Source organism: Homo sapiens, chromosome 6 (genome assembly GCF_000001405.40).
Source record: "Homo sapiens chromosome 6, GRCh38.p14 Primary Assembly".
Taxonomy (NCBI): domain Eukaryota; kingdom Metazoa; phylum Chordata; class Mammalia; order Primates; family Hominidae; genus Homo; species Homo sapiens.
This window is the reverse complement of record NC_000006.12, coordinates 67278757-67302323: the sequence shown is the minus strand read 5'-3', so window position 1 is coordinate 67302323 and position 23567 is coordinate 67278757. Positions and strand designations below refer to the sequence as shown.

Sequence of the window (23567 nt, the reverse complement as noted above, 5' to 3'; positions counted from 1 at the left end):
GAATATTGCTTATGACAGATCTAATTCAAAATTCCAGTTGTTTAAAGCTAAAACACCAAATCCTTTATTAATTGGCCCATGGTAGCAGATATGTTGACATCAGAGTATTAATCTTAGTAAGTACAAGGCCTCAGGTGATTATAGGCTCTGGATTAGTTTTATTCATCTTTCCCTAAAAACCATGTGCTTCAAATTTTCTTATTCTGGACTACAGATGGGTATTTGCATTTTTTTATTAGATCTTAATGCAGTAAACAATTCCAACTGTTGTACATTTTTTCTATTTTCTGTTGCCTCATGACCATGATCAATTTCTTAATTGGTATTTTTGTTTTGTTAGCAATCCATAGAAACATATTGTGAATAACAAAATAATAATGATTTTAAAAATAAATAAAAGTTTACAAGGAAAGTTATAAAACTGAAGGAAAGCCTGAACATAATTATATTAGGCAAAAGCAGACATAGAGTGACTTCTAGAATTCCATAGTCAGAAAATAATTTCTTAGATTTAATGTAGACCACTTGTTGATATTGGATTTTCACTAACTTCCACCGAGATACCTATATCATTTCTCACTACTTATAGTCATGTATCAATACATAATTATGTAAGATCATTTGAAAAAAAAGAATGGCTATATTTGGTCAGCTACACATTACAGACAAGTCCAGGTACATTCTGGAGTATTTGCCTTCTCAGTATTTCTGTGTTTCAAAAACAGGCATGTAGAAATGTCTGGATCTGCCACATGCCCTATGTCAGCCGAATGGTCAATCTCAGCCCATTTTTCCAGACATAAGCTGTTCTACTCTCCACATACCCCAGTAGACTTCTCAGGGCAATGGAGCTCCTCTGGGAGCCAAGTTTCTGGTATGTTTTTGCAAACAGGCTCAGGTTTTTAAGTTTCTCTTGTACATATAATGAAACTACATTCATCATTTTTAACAATTTAACCTACGTTTAATTCTCTTAAAATCTCGTTACAAGCTTTATGAGCTTGTAAAACTTAGGTTACATTGTTACAAATAAATCTACAAACCTTGGAGAGCTCTTACTCCCTCTCATGTCACAAGTTTCAATATGTATTTTCTCTTATCTAAGTGTGCTTTAAATATAGTAAAACTTCTTACTTTATTACTACATAAAAGTAAAAAAAAATTTTCACTAAATTTAATAATATCATCTTATTAGCCAATTTAGCTGTTTCAATAAAGAAAAGAGAGTGGGGGTTGATGGCAAGATGGCCGAATAGAAACAGCTCAGGTCTGCAGCTCCCAGCGAGATCTACGCAGAATTGGGTGATTTCTGCATTTCCAACTGAGGTACCTGGTTCATCTCATTGGGACTGGTTGTACAGTAGGTGCAGCAGACAGAGGGCAAGCCAAAGCAGGGTGGGGCGTCGCCTTAGCCAGGAAGCACAAGGGGTTGGGAGTTTTCTTCGCTACCCAAGGGAAGCCATGACAGTCTGAGCCTAAGGAACTCCGGCACAGATACTACGCTTGTCCCATGGTCTTCACAACTCACAAACCAGTAGATTCCCTGTGGTGCCTACCCCAACAGGGCCCCGGTTTTAAGCACAAAACTGGGCTGCCATTTGGGCAGACACTGAACTAGCTGCAGGAGTTATTTTTTTCCATACCCCAGTGGTGCCTGGAACGCTGCCAGCAAGACAGAACCATTCACTCCCCTGGAAAGGGGTGCTGAAACCAGGGAGCCAAGTGGTCTGGCTCGGTAGGTCCCACCCACAATGGAGCCCAGCAAACTAAGATCCACTGGCTTGAAATTCTCACTGCCAGCACAGCAGCAGTCTGAGATCAACCTGAGATGCCCCCCGCTTGGTGGGGGGAGGGGCGTCCACCATCACTGAGGCTTGAGTAGGCGGTTTTATGCTCACGGTGTAAACAGCCACTGGGAAGTTCCAACTGGGTGGAGTCCACTGTGGCTCAGCAAGGTTGCTGTGGCCAGATTGCCAGATTTCTCTTCTCTGGGTAGGGCATCTCTGATAAAAAGTTAGCAGCCCCATTCAGGGTCTGATAAATAAAACCCCCATCTCCCTGGGACAGAGCACCTGGGGGAAGGGGCAGCTGTGGGCACAGCTTCTGCAGACTTAAATGTCCCTGCCTGATGGCTCTGAAGAGAGGAGCAGACCTCCCAGCACAGCATTCAAGGTCTGCTAAGGGTCAGACTGCCTCCTCAAGTGGATCCCTGACCCCTGTGTATCCTGAGTGGGCGATGCCTCTCAGTAGTGACTGACAGACACCTTATACAGGAGAGACCTGGCTGGCATCTGCCAGGTGCCCCTCTGGGATGAAGCTTCCAGAGGAAAGATCTTTGCTGTTCTGCAGCCTCTGCTGGTGATATCCAGGCAAACAGGGTCAGGAGTGGACCTCCACCAACTCTAGCAGACCTGCAGCAGATGGGCCTGACTGTCAGAAGGAAAACTAATAAACAGAAAAGAATAGCATGTCCTCTCAAAGACCCCATCCAAAGGTTACCAACATCAAAGACCAAAGGTAGATAAACCCACAATGATGGGGAGGAACCAGCTCAAAAAGACTGAAAATTCCAAAAACCAGAATTTCTCTTCTACTCCAAAGAATCACAACTCCCCACCAGCAAGGGAATAAAACTGGACAAAGAATGAGTTTGATGAATTAACAGAAGTAGTCCTCAGAAGGTGGGTAATAACAAACTCCTCTGAGCTAAAAGAGCATGTTCTAATCCAACGCAAGAAAGTTAAGAACCTTGAAAAAAGGTTAGACAAATTTCTAACTAGAATAACCAATATAGAGAACATAAATGACCTGATGGAGCTGAAAAATACAGCACGAGAACTTCATGAAGCATACACAAGTTTCAATAGCCGAATCAATCAAGTGGAAGAAAGGATATCAGTGACCTTAGAACAACTAAATGAAATAAAGAGAGAAGACAAGATTATTAAAAAAAAAGAATAAAAAGGAATGAACAAACTCTCCAAGAAATATGGGACGATGTGAAAAGACCAAATCTACATTTGATTGGTGTACCTGAAACTGATGAGGAGAATGGAACCAAGTTCTAAAGTACTCTTCAGGATATTACCCAGGAGAACTTCCCCAACCTAGCAAGACAGGCCAACGTTCAAATTCAGGAAATACAGAGAACAGCACAAAGATACTCCTCAAGAAGAGCAACCCCATGACACATAATTGTCAGATTCACTAAGGTTGAAATGAAGGAAAAAAAGTTAAGGACAGCCCAAGAGAAAGGTCGGGTTACCCACAAAGGGAAGCCCATCAGACTAACAGCAGATATCTCTGCAGAAACCCTACAAGCCAGAAGAGAGTGGGGGTCCATATTCAACCTTCTTAAAGTGAAGAATTTTCAACCTAGAATTTCATATCCAGCCAAACTAAGCTTCATTAAGCAAAGGAGAAATAAAACCCTTTGCAGACAAGCAAATGCTGAGAGACTTTGTCACCACCAGTCTTGCCTTACAAGAGCTCCTGAAGGAAGCACTAAACGTGGAAAGGCACAACCAGTACCAGCCACTGCAATAACATACCAAATTGTAAAGAACATGGACATTATGAAGAAACTGCATCAACTAATGGGCAAAGCGAGCATCATAATGGCAGAATCAGATTCACACATAACAGTATTAACTTTAAATATAAATGGGCTAAATGCTCCAATTAAAAGAACAGACTGGCAAATTGGATAAAGAGTCAAGACCCATCAGTGTTCTGTGTTCAGGAGACCTATCTCATGTGCAAAGACACACATAGACTCAAAATAAAGGGATGGAGGAATATTCACCAAGCAAATGGAAAGAAAAAAAATGTAGAAGTTGCAAAACTAATCTCTGATAAACAGACTTTAAACCAAAAATGTTAAAAGATACAAAGAAGGGCATTACATAATGGTAAAGGGATCAATGCAACAAGAAGAGCTAACTATCCTAAATACATATGCACCTGATACAGGAGCACCCAGATTCATAAAGCAAGTTCTTAGAGACCTACAAAAAGATTTAGGCTCCCACACAGTAATAGTGGGAGACTTTAACACCCTACTGTCAATATTGGACAGATCAATGAGACAGGATATTAACAAGGATATTCAGGACTTTAACTCAACTCTGGACCAAGCAGACCTAATAGACATCTACAGAACTCTCCACTCCAAATCAACAGAATATACATTCTTCTCAGCACATCATCACACGTATTCTAAAATTGACCACATATTTGGAAGTAAAACACTCCTCAGCAAATGCAAAAGAATGGAATTCATAACACACAGTCTCTCAGACCACATTGCAATTAAATTAGAACTCAAGATTAAGAACTCACTCAAAACCACAAATCTACATGGAAACTGAACAACCTGATCCTGAATGACTATTGTGTAAATAATGAAATGAAGGCAGAAATAAATATATTCTTTGAAACCAAGGAGAATGAAGACACAACATACCAGAATCTCTGGCACACATTTAAAGCAGTGTGTAGAGGGAAATTTATAGCACTAAATGACCACAAGAGAAAGCAAGAAAGATCTAAAATTGATACCCTAACATCAAAATTAAAAGAACTAGAGAAGCAACAACAAACAAATTAAAAAGCTAGAAGAGGGCAAGAAATAACTAAGATGAGAGCAGAACTGAAGGAGATAGAGACACAAAAACCCCTTCAAAAAATCAATAAATCCAGGAGCTGGTTTTTTGAAAAGATCAACAAAAAAGATAGTCCACTAACAAGACTAATAAAGAAGAAAAGAGAGAAGAATCAAATAGACACAATAAAAAATGATATAGGGGATATCACCATTGATACCACAGAAATACAAACTACCATCAGAGAATACTATAAACACGTCTATGCAAATAAACTAGAAAATCTAGAAGAAATAGATAAATTCCTGGACACATACACCCTCTGAAGTCTAAACCAGGAAGAAGTTGAATATCTGAATAAACCAATAACAAGTTCTGGAATTTAGGCAGTAATTAAAAGCCTACCAACTAAAAAAAGTCCAGAACCAGATGGATACACAGCCAAATTCTACCAGAGGTACAAAGAGGAGTTGCTACCATTCCTTCTGAAAATATTCCAAACAATAGAAAAAGAGGGAATCCTCCCTAAGTAATTGTATGAGGCCAGCATCATCTTGATTCCAAAACCTGACAGATACACATGAACAACAAAAAAATTTCAGGCCAATATCCCTGATGAACATTGACGTGAAAATACTCAACAAAATATTTGCAAACCAAATACAGCAGCACAGCAAAAAGCTTATCCACCAGGATCAAGTCAGCTTCATACCTGGAATGCTAGGCTGGTTCAAGATATGCAAACCAATAAACGTAATCCATCACATAAATAGAACCAACGACCAAAACCACATGATTATCTCAATAGATGCAGAAAAGGTCTTTGACAAAATTCAACAGCCTTCATGCTAAAATCTCTCAATAAACTAGGTATTGATGGAATGTATCTCAAAATAATAACAGCTATTTATGACAAACCCACAGCCAATATCATACTAAATGGGCAAAAACTGAAAGCATTCCCTTGGAAAACTGGCACAAGACAAGGATTCTCTCTCTCATCACTCCTATTCAACATAGTTTTGGAAGTTCTGGCCCAGGCAATCAGGCAAGAAAAAGGAATAAATGGTATTCAGATAGGAAGAGAGGAAGTCAAATTGTCTCTGTTTGCAGACGACATGATTGTATATTTAGAAAACCCCATCATCTCAGCCCAAAATCTCCTTAAGCTGATAAGCAACTTCAGCAAAGTCTCAGGATACAAAATGAATGTGCAAAAATTACAATATTCCTATACACCAATAACAGAAAAACAGAGAGCCAAATCATGAGTGAACTCCCATTCACAATTGCTACAAAGAGAATTAAATACCTAGGAATACAACTTACAAGGGATGTGAAGGACCTCTTCCAGGAGAACTACAAACCACTGCTCAAGGAAATAAGAGAGGACACAAACAAATGGAAAAACATTCCATGCTCATGGATAGGAAGAATCAATATCATGAAAATGGCCATGCTGCCCACAGTAATTTATAGATTAAATGCTATCCCCATCAAGCTACCAATGACTGTCTTCAAAGAATTGGAGAAAACTACTTTAAATTTCATATGGAACCAAAAAAAGAACCTGCATAGCCAAGACAATCCTGGGCAATCAGAACAAAGCTGGAGGCATCATGCTATCTGACTTCAAACTATACTACAAGGTGGTAGTAACCAAAACAGCATGGTACTGGTACCAAAACAGAGATATAGACCAATGGAACAGAACAGAGCCCTCAGAAATAGCACCACATATCAACAACAATCTGTTCTTTGACAACCTTGACACAACAAGCAATGGGGAAAAATTCCCTATTTAATAAATGGTGCTGGGAAAACTGGCTAGCCATATGCAGAAAACTGAAACTGGACCCCTTTCTTACACCTTATACAAAAATCAACTCAAGATGGATCAATTACTTAAATGTAAGACCTAGGACCATAATAATCTTAGAAGAAAATCTGGGCAATACCATTCAGGACATAGGCATGGGCAAAGATTTCATGTCTAAAACAGCAAAAGCAATGGCAACAAAAGCCAAAATTGACAAATGAGATCTAATTAAACTAAAGAGCTTCTGCATAGCAAAAGAAACTATCATCAGACTGAACAGGCAACCTACAGAATGGGAGAAAAATTTTGCAATCTATCCATTTGACTAAGGGCTAGTATCCAGAATCTACAAAGAAGTTAAACAAATTTACAAGAGAAAAACAGCTCCATCAAAAAGTGGGCAAAGCACACGACTGCACTCCAGCCTGGGTGACAGAGCGAGACTCTGTCTCAGAAAAAAAAAAAAAAAAAAAAAAAAAAAAAAGTGGGCAAAGGATATGAACAGACACTTCTCAAAAGAAGACATTTATGCAGCCAACAGACATGAAAAAATGCTCATTATCACTGGTCATTAGAGAAATGCAAATTAAAACCACGATGAGATACAATCTCACACCAGTCAGAATGGTGATCATTAAAAAGTCAGGAAACAACAGATGCTGGAGAGGATGTGAAGAAATAGGAATGCTTTTACACTGTTGGTTGAAGTGTAAATTAGTCCAATCTTTATGGAAGACAGTGTGGCGATTCCTCAAGGATCTAGAACTAGAAATACCATTTGACCCAGCTATTCCATTATTGGAGATATACCCAAAGGATTATAAATCATTCTACTATGAAGACACATGCACACCTATGTTTACTGTGGCACTACTCACAATAGCAAAGACTTGGAACCAACCCAAATGTCCATCAATGATAGACTGTATAAAACCAACCCAAATGTCCATCAGTGATAGACTGCATAAAGAAAATGTGGCACATATACACTGTGGAATACTATGCAGCCATAAAAAGGATGAGTTCATGTCCTTTGCAGGGGCATGGATGAAGCTGAAAACCATCATTCTCAGCACCCTATCACAAGAACAGAAAACCAAACACCACATGTTCTCACTCATAAATGGGAGTTGAACAATGAGATCACATGGACATAGGAGGGGAACATCACACACCAGGGCCTGTCAGTGGGTCGGGGGTAGGGGAATGATAACATTAGAATACCTAAAGTAGGTGATGGGTTGATGGGTGCAGCAAACTACCATGGTACCTATATACCTAAGTAACAAAACTGCACGTTCCGCACATGTACTCCAGAACTTAAAGTGTAATAAAAAAAAAAGAAAGAAAAGAGAATTTCGGGAGGATGTTCTACAGCCATTCTGAACCTCTTTAGCTACTTAGCTCACACTGCTCTCTTTGTTCTTGAGTTCACAATAGTGTTGTCCTATTTTGTTATGTTTCAGAACTCTAGCTAAGAAGGAGAACACAGGTATCTTCTTCACTTGTTCAAGTCCAGTATACCCGAGAATTCACTATGACTTCTGGGGTTCAGTTTTTAAAAACAAGGCATATACCTTTACCTCAGCAGTACTGCATTTCTGTATTCTGTGATTTTATGCTTTCATGGCCCAGGTCAATTTTGATGAGAAGCAGAATAAAATTTTCTATAAGATTTTTTTTAAACATATACTCAATGTACCAAGATCTGGTTTTTGAAGGACGTATTACAATAATATGACAATGTTATTCTCTACCACTATAAAAGTCAACAACTTCATCCTGAAATAATGAATATCATGGAGCAGTATTAATTATAGGAATAAAAAAAACACATCAATATACACATTTTATAAATATATGTATATATGTATGTGTGTACTTGTATATTATTTACATATATAAATATATAGGTATATATGTATATAACAGTTATATGTATATAGCCTATATACATATAGGCTATATACGTATATAGGCTATATACATATAGGCATATACGTATATAGGCTATATACATATAGGCATATACGTATATAGGCTATATACATATAGGTATATACGTATATAACAGTTATATATATATGTATGTATATCTAACTGTTATGAGGCAATTGGCAAAATTCTTATTTCAGGTTAGGAGCTTAGCATTTTCCAATATATATCATATATTTTTGGCATTTTAGCAGAGACTTTTAGTTAAATAATCACTTTAGATATTATAGTTAGAAACCTGAGCTGAGCAGATATATTCAAGGCAATTTTCTCACACTAAAATTGGTCAAAAAAGATAAATAGCACCTTTAAAAAATATTATTTGTAAAGAAAATTATATCGTGGTGCATGTCATAATTTTAAAACATTTTATTTATATCTTTATTATAAAATCATAGGCTCAATAAATAGGATCTTTATCAGTTTCTAAATTAAGAAATAAAATATTTTACTTAAAAATACAAAAACAAAATGGAAACATTGTTACTGATATAAAGTATATTGGAGAATCTGGCTTGGTTGTGAAAACTAAAAGGGCTTGCTGATCATCTACTCTCCAGTGCAAAACTTGAGGCAGCCCACTGAAAGATAGATTGACTCGACAAAGCAGATATTCTTTTCTAGGTCACTGCCTTTAATAGGTCAAGATTTTTCCCATGTTCAAAATTTAAAGAGATTTATTTCCCTAAATAAAGAAACATAAACAAATGCTACCTGCTACCACCATCATTAGGTCACTTGCTCCAACACTATCTACAGAAAAAAAAAAAAAAAAAGAAGGATTTTGTCAGAATCCAAAGAGAATCCCTCCACTTTGAATGGGGAAGGAGTGGCATGGTGACTTTTTAATAAGGTAACTAGAGGGCTGAATTACATTTCCCAGAATTCCCTTTTCATTATGTTTTCAATAAGGGTGAAAAACACGAGAGATTCTTTGGAGATTTGGAGGGCTAGGGGAATCAGCAGCCATTTTGTAATTTATACACACAGTTGCTAACCTGATGACTTACCTGTGTCTGAAAGAAGTAGCAGAGCCTCCAGATGCTTTTATCTTCCCCTAGATCCTTGTTAGACCTCTCTGGGTACTGGTCTAGGTGTGAGTGCTTATTTCTGTGTCTAAACAGCTACTGCAGAATAGACTAGTTACCAGGGTCAACAACATAAAAAACTGACACAGGTTTCAGTCTTTTTTTTGTGGGGTTCCAGACCAAGCATGTGGCATTCATGCTGACCTCAGTTTACCCTCACTTTACCCTTCTTGCTTTCTGACTGCCTACCCCGTGGATTTCAAGGTCAAGCAACAAACAAAGAGACAGGATGCTTTCAGGGATGGTTTAACAAGCTCTGCTAATATCTTGAGGACAATTCCCTGCAAGGAATTGCCTTAAGGATTTTTGTTTTCTGACATTCTCAGGTATTTGACCTCGCAACTTATTGGTTTAAACCTTGAATTACTGTTCAGCCAGATATATGACCATCATTCTGGGTATTGCAGTCTATCAGTCTCCCATCTTCATTGTGTTTGCACTTACAGGCTGTCCCTTGTGACTGTTTTATAAGACTGTTTTTGAGCCTACAAAGTTTTGTCCTCGTAGATCAAACAATGAAATAGGCATATCTACTACAAGAATATATTGAATTCAGATTTAAAAGTTCTCTTCCTATTTTTGTTGTTCTCTAAAAGATGTCTATCTGCATTGCACAACATAGCCAATCACATGTGCTATTAACAATAAAATTAAATATAATCAGAAATATACTTCAATAATCAAATATTATAGATATCAAAAATAAACTGTCAAAAGCATACTGCGGCCTCACATTTTCACACAACGTTCCATTTTCTAATTGCTAGAGAGATATTAAAATCTCCAATTAAATTCCTTTGCAAGTCAAGCCCTGGAGGTTGAAAAAATTAAAAGACAAAATCAGATTTTTTTGATCTTTTGAGTTAAAATTCCAAAGGAATTAAACTCAATTTAAAAAAAAAAATTCTGCTCAGTCTAACCTCAGGAATTTTCTCTTCCAGAGTGGAGCTGATATTTCTTCAGCATTCCCCATCTACTGCATGAATATGTATCCTTTAGGACCTCTGCAGGTAAATTAGATCAATGTCATGTGTACGACATGCCTCCTTTTAAAATAAGTATTATAGATTACTAGAGAGCACAGTAGTGGCCCAGCAGTCTCTGTTCACCTGTTACTCTTAGACAGCAAGTCAATACTTAGTGTTTTAGACGTTGTTCCGACCTAATTTATTTTTATATCATATAATATTAAGTATTGTCCAAGATGAATGTTGAGATTTAGTGGTATCTGAGGACCAAAGGATCAATGGAGTGCTCAATTTTACTCTTGAGAGAAAGGCAGTCAGTTTTGTCATTATTCTTATGCCATATCCTGTGAAAATAATTTCAATTGAGGGAAATATCTCTGTAGAAGCTGATCTTGGCTCTGTGCATTAATTGTATCTAGGAAATTCTTTCTATGCAGAGTGTCTTCTTTCTCAGGAAATGAAATTCAAAACATTCTTTAAAAGTAAAGGTATTTCTAAAGTTATAATTGCCAGGCACAGTGTTATTAGGGTTTTGCTCTGCCGCTCAGACTGAAATGCGGTGACATGATCATAGCTCACTGCAGCCTTAAACTCTGAGGCTGAAGCAATCCTCCTGCTTCAACCTCACAAGTGACTGGGACTATAAGGGCACACCACTTCTCAAGGATAATTTAAAAAAATATGTAGAAATAGAGTCTTGGCTTGTTGCCCAGGCTGGTCTTGAACACCTGGCTTCAAACAATCCCTCCCACCTCCACCTCCCAAAGTGCTGGGATTACAGGTGTGAGCCACTGTGCCTGGCTCAGGTGCCAAGTGTTTTTGGTTGTTGTTTGTTTGTTTGTTTCCAGGCTGGAGTGCAGTGGTGTGTTCTCTGCTCACTGCAACCTCCGCCTCTCAGGTTCAAGCAATTCTCCAAGCACAAGGTTTTATTGAGGTTTCTTTCTTTCCTAACTTTTCTTTGTTTTTTTTTTTGTCATAGAAATCTATTTATTAACATGGAAATATGATCACAATGCATTATGTGAAAAAGATTATAAAATAGTATGCGGAGTATGATCCTGTTGGATTCTTTTATGTGTGTGTATATATATATATATATATATACACACATCAAGTATATATATAGTATATGTGTATATATATACATAAAGTATATACTTAAAGTATATATATATATTAAGTTCTATGGTACATGTGCATAACATGCAGGTTTGTTACATATGTATACATGTGCCATGTTGGTGTGCTGCACCTATTAACTTGTCATTTACATTAGGTATATCTCCTAATGCTATCCCTCCCCACTCTCCCCACCCCACAACAGGCCCCGGTATGTGATGTTCCCCACCCTGTGTCCAAGTGTTCTCATTGTTCAATTCCCACCTATGAGTGAGAACATGAGGTGTTTGGTTTTCTGTCCTTGTGATAGTTTGCTGAGAATGATGGTTTCCGGCTTCATCCATGTCCCTACAAAGGACATGAACTCATCATTTTCTATGGCTACATAGTATTCCATTTTCTATATGTGCCACATTGTCTTAATCCAGTCTATCATTGTTGGACATTTGGATTGGTTCCAAGTCTTTGCTATTGTGAATAATGCCGCAATAAACATATGTGTGCATGTGTCTTTATAACAGCATGATTTATAGTCCTTTGGGTATATACCCAGTAATGGGATGGCTGGGTCAAGTGGTCTAGTTCTAGATCCTTGAGGAATCGCCACACTGTCTTCCACAATGATTGAACTAGTTTACAGTCCCACCAACAGTGTAAAAGTGTTCCTATTTCTCCACATCCTCTCCAGCACCTGTTGTTTCCTGACTTTTTAATGATCACCATTCTGACTAGTGTGAGATGGTATCTCATTGCGGTTTTGATTTGCATTTCTCTGATGGCCGGTGATGATGAGCATCTTTTCATGTGTCTGTTGGCTGCATAAATGTCTTCTTTTGAGAAGTGTCTGTTCATATCCTTCACCCACTTTTTGATGGGTTGTTTGATTTTTTTCTTGTAAATTTGTTTAAGTTCTTTGTAGATTCTGGATATTAGCCCTTTGTCAGATGAGTAGAATCTAAAAATTTTCTTCCATTTTGTAGGTTGCCTGTTCACTCTGATGGTAGTTTCTTTTGCTGTGCAGAAGCTCCTTAGTTTAATTAGATACCATTTGTCTATTTTGGCTTTATGAAGTCCTTGCCCATGCTTATGTCCTGAATGGTATTGCCCAGATTTTCTTCTAGGGTTTTTATGGTTTTAGGTCTAACATTTAAGTCTTTAATCCATCTTGATTTAATTTTTGTATAAGGTGTAAGGAAGGGATCCAGTTTCAGCTTTCTACAAATGGCCAGCCAGTTCTCCCAGCAACATTTATTAAATAGGGCATCCTTTCCGCATTTCTTGTTTTTGTCAGGTTTGTCAAAGAACAGATGGTTGTAGATGTGTGGTATTATTTCTGAGGGCTCTGTTCTGTTCCATTGGTCTGTATATCTGCTTTGGTACCAGTGCCATGCTGTTTTGATTACTGCTGCCTTTAAGTATAGTCTGAAGTCAGGTAGCGTGATGCCTCCAGCTTTATTCTTTTGGCTTAGGATTGTCTTGGCAATGTGGGCTCTTTTTTGGTTCCATATGAACTTTAAAGTAGTTTTCTCCAATTCTGTGAAAAAAGTCATTGGTAGCTTGATGGGGATGGCATTGAATCTATAAATTACCTTGAGCAGTATGTCCATTTTCATGATATTGATTCTTCCTATCTATGAGCATGGAATGTTCTTCCATTTGTTTGTGTCCTCTTTTATTTCATTGAGCAGTGGTTTGTAGTTCTCCTTGAAGAAGTCCTTCACTTCCCTTGTAAGTTGGATTCCTAAGTATTTTATTCTCTTGGAAGCAATTATGAATGGGAGTTCACTCATGATTTGGCTCTCTGTTTGTCTGTTATTGGTGTATAGGAATGCTTGTGATTTTTGCACATTGATTTTGTATCCTGAGACTTTGCTGAAGTTGCTTATTAGATTAAGGAGATTTTGGGCTGAGACGATGGGGTTTTCTAAATATACAATCATGTCATCTGCAAACAGGGACAATTTAACATCCTCTTTTCCTAATTCAATACCCTTTATTTCCTTCTCCTGCCTGATTGCCCTGGCCAGAACTTCCAACACTATGTTGAATAGGAGTGGTGAGAGAGGGCATCCCTGTCTTATGCCAGTTTTCTTACTCCCTTAATTTCCATTTTTGTTACATCATTTGCACTGAGGGTGAAGAAAAGATAAAAGTAAGAGTATAGCTTCTGTCTATCATTGGTTAAATGTTTGTTCACTGGTAACCTCCCCTGCTCTTGAAGATGTCTATTGCTAGCCATTGATAGAATCCTACAGAATTTTCCTACCTTGAGTAAAGTCCGGATAGAGACAAAAGACAGAAAACAAGCATGAGATGATACACTGTAGGATGTGCCTTAGGTCAGTTGAATATCTTGCAGAGTTATCTTCTACCTTGCTACCATAACAAATATTAGAAAGATTTATATATAAATCCTTTTATGTGGAGTTGCTGTATATACATATATATGTGTATATGGCAGTGATGCAACAATTGATGTCTCCAAGATGCACCAATGAAACAGTAAAATATACTTCTTAACAGAAGATACTTATTTTTGTTTTATTTGCAAGAGAGAAGATTGAAATATTTGATTTTATATTTCATCAAATGAACAAATTTAAAATCAAATAATCTTCTAACTGAAGAACTCACACAAGCCTATAGGTTTTTCTCCCTTACTTACAACAATTCAGTGAGGAAATTATTATTTTTTTCCCAAAATTTATTTTTTTTTATTATACTTTAAGTTCTCGGGTACATGTATGAAGAAGCAGAGCCCTGATGAAGTTCAACAAGTTGTCCAAGGTCACACAGCCAGGAAGTGTTAGAAGCAGGATTTAATTGCCAGCAGTCTTTCTCCAAAGTATGACCTTTAAACCAATATGTTATACAGCCCCATGAATAAAAAAAAAATCTTCCTTGAAAAAAGGAAAACATTGAAACATTCAGACTCTGGTAAAGATTATGACTCATGTGCATAGGAAAATTCCAAATTATGTCACATCTTTTGACAAGCTCTAGCATCAGTTCTGAGAAATTACTTGTATATACTATACATCTGTGTTCACTAAGAAAAACATGTACTTTATTGACATTTTCAAAATGGCATGGTTTTAAAATCTCTATTGCAAATGGACAGGCCAGAAATTAATGAGGTATTAAGATAGTTAATGCAGGCAATGCTACAAGCTCTTTAAAAGGACCAACACCATTGTTAGTAGATCAGTTATGCAAGTTTGGCCATGTACATCTGTTGATTTGCCAGATAGCTAATTAAAATGTGTTACAGCCATTAAGTGTTTAAAGGCACATTTTATGATTCCGTAAAATGTCATTTATCTAGTTTAAGCCATACTTGTTTTGATCTGCCACACAAAAATCACTAAAGGCCCATATTTTGCATATAAATTTAGCTCTAAAAAAGATGTGCTTTCCTTTTGACCTTAGTTTGAATGGAATAGCATCTATTTTGACTGACATGACAGTGGACAAAGAATGGCATGCTTGATACATTGATATTGATTCTTTATCAGGACTTTTTTTTTGTTTCAGTGTTGTTTTTATTTTACGTTCAGGGGTACATGTGCAGGATGTGCAGGTTTGTTACATAGGTAAACGTGTGCCATGGTGGTTTGCTGCACAGATCATCCCATCACCCAGGTATTAAGCACAGCATCCATTAGCTATTCTTCCTGATGCTCTCTCCCTCCTTCCACACCCCACCCCTGACAGGCCCCAGTATGTATTGTTTTCCCCAACGTGTCCATGTGTTCTCATCATTCAGCTCCCACATGCGGTATTTGGTTTTCTGTTCCTGCGTTAGTTTGCTGAGGATAATGACCTCCAGCTCCATCCATGTCCCTGCAAAGGACATGATATTGTTCCTTTTTATGGCTGTATAGAGTCAGGACATATTTTTATGTCTATATAGGTAATTGTGCTTAATATGACAAAAATTTTCATAACATTATGATCTAACATTTATTGCATTTTGATATGTACCAGGAATATTTAATTTCTTAATATATTATATGTTGGATTACTTGATACTTAGGAAAACCTTTGGAGTATGTTTCTTGACATCTACATTTTTCAAATGAGGCAAAATGGTTTAATATCACACTGTAAGTAGGTGAAAGATTCAAGAAGACTAACCTGGGCAGCCAATATCCGTAGCCTTAACCATTTCCTTTTACTGTCTTTCAGTTTTTCTGATAGGAATCAACTTTAATTTTCTAAGGGAACCATAAAAATAAACTAAATTTTCTGTAACCACAGTAAACTCACTAACCTTATTTAAGCTTTTCAAGATATTTGAAAAGATTGTTTAATCTAATCCTATTATTCTAAGGATATCCCCACTAAAGCTAGAAAAAAAAACTATGCAGTTCATTCTTCTAATTTGAGGGCCAGCAATGCTTTGAATCTAGGCAGGAATATTTAGTTTGGTTCATAGCCATGATGATTCAAGGAATCAAGGCTGTTTTACATAATCATGCTATAGAAGGCAAAGAACAGTCAGGCTTTGTCTTATTAAAGAGGTTTAAAGTTAGGACAAAATTAATTCAAATTTGGAAACATCTCTTCTCTTCTCCAACTCTTACCTGTTCTCCCAAAGGTATAATTTTTTTTAAGCTAAAAAACAAGAATTCACTATTTTGCTTAGGAAATATTTATATGTAGTGAAGTTTCAAAATTAATTAACTCAACCATCTTCACTTGGAAAGATAGTTTATTTCCAACAATATTATTTCCAACAGGAATTTAATATTGCACAATATACTCTCAACTGTGAGGTAATATTAAAACTCCTAAAATTAACTTCTTTAATTTTACATGTTTAGTTTGACAAACATAGAATTAAATAGAAGAAAATGATTGCATTTCTCCATTCCTTCCTTTTATTCTTTGCTTTTTACCTAATGAGATAAAGAAGTAATGTGTGTGTTCCCAATCTCAGCCATATGTTGCCTTTTCCCCTAATTTTCTGGAAGGTGGATTCATATACATTTGCCCACATTTTTGCAATCACATACAGAGTTTTTGGCCCTGTGGTTGGACTTTGGAAACATACCTAATCTGTTTTTGCTGTATACAAAAAGCCTCAAATCTAAAACCTTAGAGGAAAGAAACACGTGTGCATGTATGCAAATGCATACACATAAGCATACGTGCGTGCATACATACATACAAACATACATTTTCCTATAAAAAATTGTCAAGAAAAAGAAAATCAATGTGACTTGATTTTTGGTTGTTTCTTTCTAATATGTTGATGCCAGGTGAAATGAATGGCTTCAGCATCGCACCTCGTGTCTTGGGTCGTCTTGAAGAAGAGTAAGGATGAGAAATACTATAAGAAACAAATTTTTTTTAACAGTGCATTTGCTTGTAAAATTTCCTTAGAGGGGCATACAGTTAGAAGAATGTATTCATAAGTAGTTGCTAGTGGTTTGAACTCATGATGGAGCACTTGGAAAAACAGATGGAAAGACTGCTAGTAAGATGGAATGGAGAAAAATCATGTGAATAAACATTCTTGAATAAGGGAGTGGGTATGTGGCTATTTATTTTTAATGAGAATGCTCAGCACAGTAGCAGAAGAGGTTTTCAATAAGTCAAGATAATCTTTTCTGTTCATGTCTGCCATATTCTTTTCTTACCCAGTGATTGTTCAATGGGCTAAAGGAAAATACGGTTTATGCATTGGCTTAAATTATAGATTTCACCTCACCAAAACTGATCTTACTACTATTGATGGCTTCTATCTGTCAGCAGAAGAGACCAAAGCTGAAAACATTCCCAGTGGGACAGGCCAGCCACCCAACAGCATGTTGATTAGATTAGAGATGCAGAGTTAATGCTGTGTCTTCACTGAAACGTACACTCCGTTCATATGTAGTTATACTTCTCCTGCCGGTAATCCTTCTGCCTGTACAACAACCTATGGACTTCCTAAATGCCATATTCACTATCCTTATAACCAAAAGAGCATTATTTCTGTATGTAAGTTATTTTATAACAAAATAAATGAGAAAGTGAGAAAAATCTCACACCATTGGATTTACCAGTCCATCCATGTATAGTATATCATCCAGAGGTCGTTGGACAGCTAGATGGGTGAAATGGTCTAATGAAGACTCATTGATGGCACTTGCTGGGAGAAGTTGGTGTTCTTCAACAAAAAGTGGAATATACTCTTTTTACAAAATTATTTTACTTTAAGTTCTGTGATATTTATGCTGAATGTACAGGTTTGTTACATAGGCATGCATGTGGCATGGTGGTTTGCTGCATCTATCAACCCGTAATCTAGGTTTTAAGCCCCACATGCATTAGCTAGTTGTCCTAATGCTCTCCCTCCCCTTCCCCTCCCCCAACAGTTCCTGGTGTGAAATGTTCCCCTTCCTGTGTCCATGTGTTTTTATTGCTCAGCTCCCCCTTATGAGTGAGAACATGTGATGTTTTGGTTTTCTATTCCTGTGTTAGTTTGCTGAAGATGATGGTATCCAGCTTCATCTATGTTCCTACAAAGGACATGAACTCATTCTTTTTTAAGGCTGTATAGGATCCCATGGTGTATATGTGCCACATTTTCATTATGCAGTCTATCTTTGATGGGCATTTGGGTTGGTTCCAAGCATTTGCTATTGTGAATAGTGCAGCATAAAACATACTTGTGCATGTGTCTTTGTAGTAGAATGATTTATAATTCTTTGGGTGTCTACCCAGTAATGGGTTGCTGGGTCAAATGGTATTTCTGGTTCTAAATCCTTTAGGAATTGCCACACTGTCTTCCACAACTGTTGAACTAATTTACACTCCCACCAAAAGTGTAAAAGCATTTTTCTGCATCCTTGCCAGCATCTGTTGTTTCCAGACTTTTTAATGATTGCCATTTTAACTGCCGTGAGATGGTGTCTCATTGTGGTTTTGATTTGTATTTCCCTAATGACCAGTAATAATGAGACTTTTTTCATATGTTTGTTGGCCACATAAATGTCTTCTTTTGAAAGTGTCTGTTCATATCTTTCGCCCACTTTTTGATGGGGTTGTTCGTGTTTTTCTTGTAAATTTGTTTAATTTCCTTGTAGATTCTGGATATTAGACCTTTGACAGATGGGTTGCAAAATTTTCTCCCATTCTGTGGATTGCCTGTTCACTCTGATGGTAGTTTATTTTGCTGAGCAGAAGTTCTTCAATTTAATTAGATCCCATTTGTCAACTTTGGAATATGTGATGCCATTACTCCATTAACCAGAACACATGGATCAAGAAAATCAGGAATGGAAGAAAGGGTTCATCTCTCCATTATTTCTAAGAAACCATATAAATATGTGTGTATGCATATTGTTTCCGGTTACTAAGATCTGTAACTCTTAGAAACTTTCTTTCTTCTAAAGAGAAGAACTTTCTTTCTTCAAAAAAGAAGAAAATCTTTTCAGAGCACAGATTCATGCTTTTATTGAACTTGAAATGAGCCACTTCCATTTGGCTATGTTGGGCTCTCCTTCCATAACTACAACAGACTAGCCATACAGGCTAATCTTATTATAAATAGTTGATGCTAAATACGAGGGACAGGAGGAATATATTAAGAAACCATGGATTCAGGGAAAGTTGTTCTTAATATTTTCATGTTCAGTAGTAAAAGTCAATAAAAAATAAGTAAGGCCCAATCTAGGCATGATGAATAAAAACTAAATCTTCAGTTGGGATTACCCCATTAGACAAATCTCTAAGACTAACTGAGGTGTTTGCTGAGATGTTAACTGAGATTAAAGCAAGCCTGGGATGCGTATTGAAAGAAGGTCATAAATACCAAATACTGCTTCATGACTGGCTAGGGAATGAGAACTGTAATAGTTAAATTATTCCTTGATTTTTATATAGCTATTTTAATAAATATTAATCAAGAATATATTTTCTTGCCCTTTCTATTATTTTATAAATGATCTGATGGTATAATTACCTTTATAATTATATCTTTAAGTTACAGATATCAGAAGAGAGGTTGTGTTTATCTAGAAGCAGCAGCAAATGATAGATGAGTCCTGGGTTCTCCCTTTTGCAAAGGTAATAAGCAACATCCTTAAACAAGGTATAATTATATCATGTTAGGAAGGAGCATGATGTGGTTGCTATTATTTTTATTTGTAGATTAAATTTAGATAGAAAGGCGTATTTGGTTCTTGAATTGGCAAGATGACGGACTTTCTCAGATTGACATTTTATCACTTGGAAATCATTCCTACTTCCTTCTTTACTGTCATCTACAGAATAGTAGCAAGACCTGAGGACTTATTTCTAGAATATCTCAACCATAGGATTCTAATGTGATATTTAGAATGTAAATGACAGTAAGAAAACAACTTTTTTTATTTCCCCAGTGGTAGTACTAAGACAATATTTAGGTACAATATAGATGTGAGGATTGCATTGAATTGAAACATTTCTCAGGTGAGTTAGCCACATCAGTGCTGCAAGTACCAGAGATCATCTCCAGCATTTTTTCAACCTTTCTACAATTTTCTAATGTCCTGAAAGTGATTTTCCATGAATATTTTCTTACAAACTGTCAATTACTTTTTATTATTAATTTTATTTTTGTTATATTTGTGTATGTATTTACTATATGTATACATGCATTACATGTTTATATGTACCATTTAAAATGCTTATATGTAGCCACTATTTCCAAAATTTTAATAATCACTACAAACAAACTTTGTAAGCATTAAGTAATAACTCCTCATTCTCTCCTTTCTCCTGCCTGTGCTAAACTCTAATCTATTTCTGTATTTAGGAATTAGCCTATCCTAGATATTTCATAAAAGTGGAATCACAAATTTGGTCCTTTTGTGTCTGGCTTATTTAATTTATCATAATGTTTCCATGTTTAATACCTCTTTTAGCATGTATCAGAACTTTGTTTTTATGGATAAATGATATCTTATTATTTATGTAGCATACTTTGTTTATCCATTAATCTGTTGATGGGCTTTGAGTTGTTTTCACATTTTAACTACAGTGATAATTATACAGTGACTATTGATGTACAAGTATCTGTTTGAGTTTCTGTTTTCAGTTATTTTGGATATATACTAAGAAATTGAATGCCAAATTATGTTAATTCTATATTTTGCTTTTCAAAAAACTAGAAGACTGTTTCCCACAGCAACTGCAACATTTTACATTCCCATTATCTCTGTATGCAGGTTGCAATGTCTCCACATCCTTGATATGTTTGTTATTTTCTGTTTTTCCTTAAACTAATTATAGTCACCCTAGAAACTATTACATGATAATTCATTGTGGTTTACATGTGGATTTCCTTGATAAGAAAATATGTTTGTTAAGCAGCTTTACGTGTGCATGACTGGTCACTTGTTGATTGTTTTTGCATAAATGTCTCTTCAAGTCCTTTGCCAGTTTTTAATGTTTGTCTTTTTATTGTTGATTGTAGTTGTTCTTTATATTCTGAATAGTAAGCCCTTTTAGACATATGATTTCCAATTTTTTTTCACAGTATAGTTTATCTTTTTACATTTTTGATAACATCCTTTGAGGTGTAAAAGTTTAATTTTGATGAAGTCCAATTTATCTATTACTAATTTTTGCCCCTCATGCTTTTGGTGTTATATTTAAGAATCCATTGTTAAATCCAAATCATCAAGGTATATTGCAATTTTTTTAATGGATTTATTTACTTAGCAGTGATCAGTTCTGATGTATTATTTGTATATGGTGTTAGGTAGAGAATCAACTTCATTCCTGTACATGTGGAAATTCAATTGTCCAAACACCATTTTTTAAAAAGACCTTTCTTTCCCCATTGATTGGACTGGGAGCCCCTGTCAAAAAAATCTATTGACCATAGATGTATGTGTTAATTTCTGGCCTCTCAATTGTATTCCAATGGCCTGTACAGTAATACCTCCATATTCGTGGAGAATTGGTTCTAGGACACCCTGCAGATACCAAAATCCACTGATGCTCAAGTCCTTTACATAAAATCTGGTAGTATTTGCCTATAACCTATGCACATCCAATGATATACTTAAAATTATTTCTGTATTAATAATAACATATAATACAATGGAAATCCTATTTAAAGAGTTGTTATTCTGTATTGTCTAGGGAAGATTATAAGAAAAATTGTCTGTCTGTACATATTCAGTACATATGTAACTATCAGTTTCTTCCTTAAATATTTTTGATCTATATTTGGTTCATGCTTGTGAAACCACATGATGTCTATCCTTATGCCAATACCACATTCTTTTGATTACTATAACATTGTAGTAAGTTTTGGAGTCAGAGAATATAAGACCATCCCCTTTTTAATTTTATTTTTTCAAGATTGTTTTGGCTAATAGATGCCCCTTACAATTCAACATAAATTTTAGGATTGCTTTTATGAAAAAAGCTATTGGAATATGATAAAGTTGTTTTAAATGTACTTTGGGTAATTTTGATATCTTACTATTAAGTTTTCCTAAATATGAAAAGGAGATGTATTTCCATTTAGTCAGATCTTATTTAATTATGTTCAGCATTGTTTCATAGTTTTCAGTTTACAAGTCTTTTACCTCCTTGGTTAAATTTATTTCTAAATGTTTTATTCCTTTGGATGCTTCAGCAAAGTGAATTATCTTATTAATTTCCTTTCTATATGTTAATTTCTAGTATATAGAAACACACGTGTTTTTGAGTGTAGACCTTTTTTATTAAGTCTAGAAGTTTAGTTTTCTTGTGGATTATTTGGGGAAATCCACACACAGTGTCATTTCCTTTTTAAATATAAATCATTTTTCCCGCTTTTCAATCTGGATGTCTTTTTTAACATTTTTCTTGCCTACTTATTCTGGCTAGAACTACCAGTACAATGTTAAAAATAGCACTAGTAAAAGTAGGCATCCTTGTCTTATTCCTGATTTTAGTAGAAATGTTTTGAATCTTACACCGCTAAGTAGGATGTTAATTGTAGGTTATTTGTAAACGACTTTATCATGCTGATAAAGTTCTCCGTTTCCAAATCTCTGAGTGTTTTTATCATGAATGTTTGGGTTTGTCAAATGTTGCTTATGGTTCAACCAAGGTGACCGTGTTTCTTTTGTTTTATTTCCATGGGTACATTGCTTATTTTCTTACATTGAATTGTGATTGCATTAGTGGCATAAATAACACTTTTTCAAGATGTATAGTTCCATTAATGTGCTATAGAATTTGGTTTTCTAGTATTTTCACTGATAACTTCTGTATCAATTTTCATAAGGCATATTGTTCATGATGTCATTTTGTTGTGATGTCTTTATCTGGCTTTGCATTGAGGGTAATAGTGCATTCATAGAATGAGTTAGAAAGTGTTTACTCCTCTTCTACTTTTTTGGAACAGTTTGATGAGGATTGTTGTTAATTCTTTAAACTTTTCATAGAGTTTACTAGTGAAACCACCTGTTCTGGATTTTTCTTTGTTGGGACCAAATGTTTTTAAGCACTTAATTTCCTGTACTTATGTTTTATAATATTTGAGGTGGTTTGTTTTATGTTATTTGTTTTCTTTTTCTAACTGATGAATGAAGCAGTGACTCCTATTTCATTAACAATAAGGTGATGAATTAAGCTCATAGGAATGATTAAAAGATAGAAAATAATAGCAACACCATATTAAAATGTAGACAAATTCTTCCCTCTGGGAATCTATTTGACTCTTAAATCCATAGAGACAAAACTATGAATGGTTTATTAAACATATTTGAGAAGTAATGCATATGAACGAATGACAACAATGTAATTGGGGTCATATTCTTTATTTATTAGTGAAGTAGCATGGGAAACAAATGAAGATTAGTACATCATTGTGTTCAAATTAACAGGCTTTCAAATGTTTTTATCATCACTTTGTAATCTCATAGATTATTCTTGTTTAAGGCACAAAATGCAATTAATTAAGTCAACACATGTTCTTTATGCATTTCTGATTTAGAGA

The 23567-nt window shown here is 35.8% G+C and overlaps 2 long non-coding RNA genes across 2 annotated transcripts in view; one reads left to right on the top strand and one right to left on the bottom strand.

Moving 5' to 3' along the window:
- Positions 1–1649, bottom strand: part of LOC105377842 (uncharacterized) — a 51796-nt gene extending 50147 nt beyond the window's left edge. Inside the window, exon 1 of the long non-coding RNA XR_942658.3 lies at positions 1331–1649. This is a non-coding gene — a long non-coding RNA (uncharacterized LOC105377842). The remainder of the gene's footprint in view (positions 1–1330) is intronic.
- Positions 1287–19647, top strand: LOC105377843 (uncharacterized). The gene is made up of 3 exons (XR_942660.1): positions 1287–1326; positions 10448–10516; positions 19569–19647. It is a non-coding gene; the product is annotated as an uncharacterized LOC105377843 (long non-coding RNA).
- The last annotated feature ends 3920 nt before the right edge of the window (positions 19648–23567 follow it).